Source organism: Homo sapiens, chromosome 13 (assembly GCF_000001405.40).
Source record: "Homo sapiens chromosome 13, GRCh38.p14 Primary Assembly".
In the NCBI taxonomy this organism is placed as follows: domain Eukaryota; kingdom Metazoa; phylum Chordata; class Mammalia; order Primates; family Hominidae; genus Homo; species Homo sapiens.
Window position 1 is genome coordinate 65,780,800 of NC_000013.11, and position 9,056 is coordinate 65,789,855.

The 9,056-nt window shown below is 38.0% G+C and overlaps 1 pseudogene, besides 1 other annotated feature; it reads right to left on the reverse strand.

The window, feature by feature from the left end:
* Positions 3,196-4,097: an enhancer, noted in NCBI's record as "H3K4me1 hESC enhancer chr13:66358127-66359028 (GRCh37/hg19 assembly coordinates)". NCBI's record gives its function as "activates a minimal SCP1, AML or CMV promoter by ChIP-STARR-seq in primed H9 embryonic stem cells {active_cell/tissue: H9 hESC(primed)}" and the evidence as "EXISTENCE:reporter gene assay evidence [ECO:0000049][PMID:30033119]".
* HNRNPA3P5 (heterogeneous nuclear ribonucleoprotein A3 pseudogene 5) lies at positions 7,117-7,964 on the reverse strand (annotated as a pseudogene).

A 9,056-nucleotide genomic window follows, 5' to 3' on the forward strand; every position in this document is an offset into this window, starting at 1 on the left:
ATCATGTCAATTCAAATGACAGTATACCCCTCACTGGAGCTCAATAGTTTTCTGTTAACAATTAAGGAACACTCTCGCCATCCTGTCTTCTCAGTTTGCTCAGTTGCATTTTTTGAGCCTTTACCAATGTGCAGTGCCACTATGCCTGGTTATTGTGTCTGTGCTCATGACATTTCCAAGCAAAGACTTTCAAAGATCATTTCTCCCAACACAAACATCTTTAGAAAGATGGGAGGTTTACTTAAGATCACACTGCCCCTTGTTCAATCTTTGCTAATGCTGCAGCATTTGGAAGTCTTCCTGAAAATAAATTGTCTGATGTTTTTCCACAGTATGCAGAAAGTACCGTACCTGAAAGATTTGTACTAGTCAACTCAGCACATAAAATTCCTTTTCTGGCACCAAACTAAGCTCCAAGGAAATAAAATGATCTGCCCTCTTTACAGTGCCTTGCACATATCGATGTTCATTAACTATTTGGAGCTAGAGGAATTTTTATTTCCTATCCATATTGCAGTAGTAATGCCCCTGCCATTGAATATTGGTTTCATCCAATTTTTCACTGTAATTCTCAAGGCCATTAAAAATACCACCTACCAAGTCACAATGTAGCTGTGGATTTGCACTAAATTCCGTATCTCTACTTCATTTGTCAGATGCTGAACTATTCCAGCAGGAACAGATTCTTTGTGGCATCTTATAGTAATTAAATTTGTAGTAGTTTTTTTGAAGGGTTGAAAGATCTAATTTTTCATTCATCTAATTGTTCTAGTTTTAGAGTTGTTCAACATCAGATAGTACACAAATAATTTGAGGCAATAAAAGAACAGTAAGTAGCTTAGCAACTATGTAGCTGAAAAAAAGCAGTTATAACTATTTATAGTCAATCCTAAATTTAAATTAAATTTGCAGAAATGCAAATGACAAGGATTTTCTGAGTTTAATTTAACCTTACTAACAGCCTAGGTGTTCACATATCATTTACGTGAAGAAAAACAAGGACCAGTGAAAAGAAAGCTGGGTATCTGAATCACAAAAATGAAACACAATATCTTTTTATGTCAAAACAAATAGTCCTCTTTCAAATTATGATTTTTTCTTCTGTTTAGTTTTTGTTATTACCTACCCTGTCCCTTTCTTTTTTATTTAGCATTACACTATAATTCTCGGATTTTTGTATCCTCATAGCCAGGAACACTACTTATCCAAACCAATAGCCTCATGATTTTCTCATCCTTTGGGGACAGTGAGAATATAAAAGACTCACATGAATCTATACTAAATATACTTCCGTAGCATGGACGTACTCATTTCCTTAGAATGGACAAACAGTCTTCAAAGGAGCATATACTAATTTATAGGAAAATATATTTGAGAGGTCACAGGAAGTCCTTTTTCTCACTAGTTTTCTGTTCTTTCACTCCTAATATCAATGTTGGCAGAAATTTTAAAAATTATTTTTTTCCAGGCAGAGTGTTCTGGGTTTAACAAAAATATGCATAGAAGCCATATGAAAATATTTTTGGTCAAGACTTCCATATGCAAGTGACACTAGTTCAGAATTTTTCCTAACTCCCTGGCAGGTACCCAAAATCAGATTAATTTAATAATTAAAAGCTTGAGAGTTTTGTTTATAAGAGTTTGGTTTATATTGTTTGGGTAGGGTGTGTCCAGATGGAAAGGAAAAAAATAAGTAAGTTATTGTCATTGAACAGGTAGGAAAGCTGGTAAGAGGAGAGAATATTACAGTGCCCCCCATAACAGCTGACTTCCATGTTTTGCCAAGTCAACATTTCAAGTCAACATGTTTCTCTATGTATTCATTTAGCAAAGTTAGGGGCACCCCTATTATGTGTTGCTGTATACAATTCTAAACAAAAAATTTACATTTTATTATAGAAACACTTAAGAATATACAAAGTAGAATATTAAATATATACAAAGTAGAACTCTCACGTGCACATCACTTAATTTAAGCATTCTCAATTCTTGCCCATCTTCTTTCCTCTGTATCCAAACTTGCTTCCCACACTCAACACCCCTATCTTATTTTGAATCATATCACAGCCATCAGGCTTTTTCATCTAAAATTATTTAAATCTATACCTTCAAATACAATAAATCGTACATACATATATACTAACTAGAAAACCATTATTACATTTAAATACCGATTATCCAAAGTTTTCTAGATTGCCTTATGTTTTGAGAATTCCTTTATTTGAATTTCTATCCAAATAAAATCTCTACATTTAGATCAGTTGCTATGTCTACTAAGTCTTTTAATATGTAAGTTACCAGCATCCCTTTATTTATTTTTTTCTTGCACTTAATTTTTTGAAAAGCATTATGCTGTTTGTCCTGTAGTATTCCCCCAGAGTCTAGATAATGCTGATTTTCTCCTCATGGCATTGTTTAACATCCTCTTCTCTCCTCTGCATTTCCTGAAGTTGGTTGTTAGAGATGGGAATAGGGATAGTCAAACTACAGCCTGTGGCCACATCCAGCCTAAAGCTGTCATGAGATCCTTGGGGTGTTGCTTCACTACCTGGAAACATCTTTAGCCAGCGGCATCTTCTGTGTGAGTATTGCTTGCACCTTCTGGGCTCATCTGTCCACTTGGCCTGGCAGGTCATGCTCAGTTAGCATTATCAGCCCAGATCCCGCACCTGCCAAGGACAAGCCAGGCACGAAGCAGCAAGGGTTGTGTGAACAAGTGAGCACAGGGTCCAGCCAGTGTGTACAATCAGGCACGCCAGCTGCTGCTTTGGGGCAGGCAGCTCCAGGCGCCAACCCAGGTGCCAGGTCTGTGTGAGGGTGAGGCTAGACCAGGTGTACTGCATGCATCTTCTCCTGTGGGCACCCGGGTCTCAACAAGGGGAACATGGTGGTGCCCGGAAGCTTGAAGACACCAGGCACTGCAGAGTCCCAAAAGGGTGTCACAGCCCTGGCTTGGGGAACCCCTATGTCTGGGCTCCCAGAAGGGCTGTAGCTCTTCTGTCCTTTTTGTTGCCGGTAACATGGAGAGCAGGGGGCTGTGTTTCAGCCCTGTTTGTGTTACAGCAGGTCGTTCCTACACGTGTCCAGCTTTCAGCAGAGAGGATACCCGCAGTGGATAGCTCCTTTTCACAGGCAGGTTGAGCTCCTTTTCAAAGGTAGGTCGTCCTGACATCACTCAAGTCTGGCTGAGTCTGGGTTTTTTTTATGGGCTCAGAAGGGAGGAAGTGCGTGCTGATTACTTAAAAGGTTGCCTTGGTTGGCCCCCCAAAAGCACCATCTAATTGGCCAAACAGTCATCGATGAAGTCCTCACTCCAGGCCCTGGACTTCAACCAGAACTGGCAGCCCGACCCTTAGTCTTCAGGCTGTTCCTGACCTGAGGGTAGGGTTTCACCGGGGACCCACCCCTTTCCACCCAGGAACCTGCCTCCCGCCATCAACATGTTGACTATGGCAGCCAGGTTGTTCGTGCTGAGGGGCACCTCAGCTCCATCCCGGCCTCCCTCCGGCGCTCCTTAGTGCCCAAGTCTGGAGGGGGCCGAGGCAGCAAGGGGCTGGGGTGTCAGCATCACTGTGAAGGTATACACCTGGCTGGGTTGCAACAGCACCAGGGCTCAGCCAAAACATTCCTCCCCTCTAGAGCAGGCACTGGGCATGGTGAGAGGCCAGGGAGTGGGAGCAGGCACTTCTGATCTTGTGGAGGAAGGAGGATTCCAGGCCCCTGAGAGTGCAGGGATGCTCAGGTCCAGAGCCATGGCTGGGCTGCTTCAGTTGTGCCCAGGAGTGCAGGACTCCCACCCTAACTCAGTAGGGGGTGGGACTCTGGCCTGTTCCCAGCCCCAGCTAGCTCCGTGGAGTGTGCAGTCCCTGCCGTGCCTCCCCTGCTGCAGCTGGCCTCTTCTCAGTGACTGCTCCAGATGGGCCATCGCTGCCATCAAAGCTTATTTTGTTTAGTGCAATTTTTTTAGAACCCAGTCAAAATTATTCATTTATGTATTTTCTATGGTTATGTTTACCTAAAAAGGTAGAATTGAGTAGTTGTGGTAGACATCATGCAGTCTATAAAACCTAAAATATTTATTCTCTGGCTCTTTACAGAAAAGGTTTATTGCCGCTCAATATCAAGGATTGATTTTCATTTGATTGTTTTTGTTCTGTGTACTTCATATTTTGGTGTCGTGTACTTTCTAGCAAATAAGTAATGTCCAGTTGTCTTTTTGTGAGGTTAAAAATCATTTGATGCTCATTTCCTGAATCTATTGATTTTATCAAGGAGTCGAAAATGCTAACAAACTAGTTATTTTAGTACCATTGAGGTAAGAGATCAGCAGGACCTGTTTTCATGACCCTGCTATCAAAACAGGAGCAAAAAACTGACCAAAACTAGCTACAACTAGGAATTATAATACATTTGCTTCGTATAAGACACTCCAGCACAATGACAGTTCACAATTGCCACAGCAACACCTGAATATTACCTGATATGGTTCCAGGAGCTCCCCACCCCTTTTCTGGAAATTTAGTGAATAACCTCCTCCTTATTTAGCATATAATAAGGAGAAGGTATACATATAGCTAGCCGCAACCCTCAAGTGCTACTCCACTTATGGGGTAGCCCTGCTGAGTCAATGGAGTAACAATTTTGCTGTACACTGTTGCTCTGATAACTTGCTTTCTTTCACCATTGGCTTGCTCTTGAATTCTTTCCTGAGCAAAACCAAGAACCCTTCCAGGCTAAGACACAATCTGGGGGTTTCCCCGCATCACCATGACCTAAAACGATTTCTGAAGACCTGACTTTTGTGTGGGACCTGGAAATATTGTACTAGAATATCTCATTGCATTATTTTATAGGGAGAGGATTTGTAAAACTTTTGAGAAAAGAGTGGACTAATAAAAAAAAATTGAATTGGTATTAAACCCTGGCTTTAGAAACATACATTTTTAATATTACTGAATATCAACTTCTGAATATGTAGAATAGAAATATCAGAAACTACTTGATATAACTATGGCAAATATTAGAAATTATGTAATATATAATTACATATTTTATACGTAATTTCTAATACATAATGAATAATCAATGTTAACAATTGGCTGTACCATATTTCATGAAAACACACTTTTTCACATATCAACATCTCTGAAATTGGACTATATTATGAAATTGAACTGTATTATAAAATTGATAAATCTTAGGTTTAATGAAATATGGAAGTAGCAGTGTTAATATGATAGCTATGTGTTGTGTAAGTGTGTTGATTCTGTGCCATTAATATTCCCACCAAAAGCTCGAATAAAATTATTTTCACAGAATTTTCTTAGGTCCCCAAATTCTGTTGTTCATTTATACTGACCAAACTTTCATGGAAGATCTTTATTCTGGTGTTTTAGGTATTTGTACCAAGTGCCCTGTTCAGATTAACAAAGATGAATTTTGAAACTCTAATGCTATCACCAGGCATCTAAGTGTGTTGCGTTCATGTATTTCCCTGACCCCCACCCCATGTGATTTGTTCTGTGAGAGAGCTAGAGTTAGAGGTAAACCAGTTTGAAATAGTCAGGCAGGGGATGCTTAAAGAATCAGTTGTAGTTTTAATTATTCTACGTCATTCCTGAAATTGAAATACTAGGGTTCAAGAAGATCTCTACTTGCTGTCCACACCCTCCTATCTCCAGAGACAGTTTCTCCCTGGGCGCATGATCGACTAGTCTAATCACCCTGAAACAAAATCGTAAAATATCACTATTAGTAATAATAACAAAACATACTTAATAAGCTTACAATTTTCAAAGTACTATTAAAAGTACTTTATATATGTTACCACATTTAATCATTACAAAAATTAGACATGTTAAATGCTATTATTATCTTCATTTTCTGGATGAGAAACATTAAGTAATATGCTGAAAATCTCACAGATATAAATAGTAGGGTCAAAAATATTATGTATATAAAGTATCTCCTCATTTTTGGGATAATAGATGTGAGAATTCTTTTCATTGTTGTTTGTTTTGTTTTGTTTTGAATAAAGCAGAGGATTTACTGTAAGCCACACGGCTGTCTGGGAATAGGAGTAGCTGTTAGTATGTATATTCCCCAGGCCTTCAAGGGAGCAGGGATACCAGATTTTCAACCTGCAGACTCAGTGAGACAACCAAACTGAAAAGGAAACCAAATTAACCTTAGCTGAGTCCTTGTGGATTGGTGCCAGTTCTCCTCTCATTATAAGTACTTAGGAAGATTGCGCTACCTCACTTTCCTCAACTTTAATCATGGTCATATGATTTACTTTGGCCAGTAAAAATTGAGCAAAAATGATATGTGTTGCTTCCAGTTAAAGCATTCCTGAAACAGAATAAATCCTCCATGTATTCTTATTCTTGCCACAACATCTTGTGTGAATTTTCCAGGCTCATGAATGAATGCGACATGAAGCAGAGACTACTGACAATCTGCAATGGACATATTTAGTGAGTAAAAGCAAATCTTAAATCTTTGACGTCACTGTGGTTGAGAGTTATTTGTTACCACAGAATAACCTAGCTTATTCATACTTTATAGTCAGAGTTAGTTTCTGTCAACACTCATAGAACCTAGATAAGCCTTTGTAATTTGGTCTAGCTCAATTAGCTATATATGATGCCCAACACTGAAGACCCCACTGTAAGTTCGTCTTTCAATGTTCATTTAATTAAGCTTATAAAAAATATGTAAGCTGAAGACATTTTCTTTTTTTTTTTTTGAAAAGTTAAAAATTCCTTAATTTTTTATTCCTGGTACCACTACCACAATTTACAGGGCAATATACCTGATGTAATGAAAAGAAAAAGAAAAAGACAAAGCTACAACAGATAAAAGACCTCAGGAATCTACATCTAGTTGACACTATATTGCATTAATCAATAGCTGCACTTTTTGCAAACTGTGGCTATGAGAGTCCTGAACAAGAAGGGTTTCCTGTTTAAGCTGCAGTAAATTTTCTGACTATGGATCATTGTTCCTTCTGTGGCAGATTTTTACAGTTCCTCTAATGCATTTGGGACAACTCTCTCGAGGTAACCTGCAGCTTTCCTGACAACTCCTTGCTCTCTCTCCTGCTAAGAACTGTAGCCCTTTTCTGCTGTTTTTAGAACCTTCTGCTACCATATCCACCACTTCCACCACCAGATCCATAACCACCACCATAGGGACTGCCCGAGCTTCTTCCACCAAAACTGCCCCCTTTCATGGGTCCATAATTTGATTGCTGTTGTCCACTATGATTTCCAAAATCATTATAGTTCCCACCACCACCATAGTTACCACCGCCAAAATTTCCTCCTTCATTGTAACCATCATATCCTCCACCACCTCCACCATATCCACCACCTTGGTTTCCATATCCTGTTCCACCACCACCATAGCCCCCTCTACTACTATAACCAGGACCACCACCATAGTTGCCACCGTCACGTCCAAATCTATTATATCCACCATCACCTCTTCCATAACTTCCTCTGCTGCCACCACCTCCACCACCATAGCCTCCTCTTCCACCAAAGTTTCCACCAAGGCCAAAATTACCTCCAGCACCTCCAAAGTTTCCTCCGCGACCCATAAAATTGCCAGATCCACCTCCATGACCTCTCTGTGATCCAGCAGACTGCATCTCTTGTTTAGAAAGGGCCTTTTTCACTTCACAATTATGCCCATTAATAGTGTGGTATTTCTGAACAACAATTTTATCAATTATATCATGATCATCAAAAGTTACAAAAGCAAATCCTCTCTTTTTTCCACTCTGCCTGTCTTCCATAACTTCTATGGTTTCAATCTTGCTACACTTTTCAAAGTAGTCTCTCAAATTATATTCTTCTGTATCTTCTTTAATACCACCAACAAAAATTTTCTTCACTGTTAGATGGGCAACGGGCTTTACAGAATCCTCTCTAGAAACAGCTCTCTTTGGTTCCACTACAAGACATTTTCTAAAAATGAAAAAAACATAAAGCATACAATTGACATTACACATAATACCTCCAAGTCTTAATATATTAATGTATTTACTTCCACTTTATATCCCAAGAGTATGTGAGTAAATATGAGCATATAAAAAACAACAATTATATAGAATTTGTTTTAAAAAATCTTTCTCTAGCTCATCTTTTATTTACTATGCAACAGAAATAGCCACTTTCACATATTTTAGAAATGATTTAAATCTTTAAATAAGCTAGTATTTCTGTGTAACTTACTATGTATCTTTCCTCAATGAAGAATAAGTATTTAATTTGTTTCTGTTTTTCTGTAACTACAATACACACTCAGCACTTTCTGCCCACAACCCCATTCTCTAATTATGGTTTATCATAACTTGAGTTAGATCAAGATTTATATTTCTTTCATGATTACTATATACATACTATTGAGAGCTAAGTAATATGCTTTAATTTTTTGAATCCTCACACGTATAAAAATGTCTATATTATATTGACAGTTGAGTGACATTTTGACTGATTATGGATTTATGAATTTCTGTTTTCTTCAGAATTTTTAAGGCATTTCCATTTTAATTTAGCTTCTAGTGTTTATCACAAAAAGCCTGAAGCATACTAATGACCGAACCTCAGCATGTAGGCATTTTTTCTCATATGTAATATTGTAGGATCTTTTTATTTTTCAATATTCTGGAATATTATAATGATGTGCCTCAGTGTTGCTCTAATTTTTCCCTTTCTATGGGCACATAATGGATTCTTGAAATATGAAAAAGCATGTCCTTAATTTATATAAAAATTTTCAAAATGTTTATTTAATACTTTAATCTTTTTAACTTTTTATGCGATCTACTTCATACATTCCTATTACTTGGATGTTTGAATTAATGGGATGTGTCTTTTATTGTCTTACACATCTCTATTCTTCCCTCCATGTTTGTCTTTTTGTTGTTTGTTTTCTCTTGTTTCTGTGAAATTTTCTCAGCTTTATCTTTCAAACATACTATTAAGCTTTACATTTCTAATTGTGAAACAATGTTCATTTGTTCTATGATACATACATATATATGTATG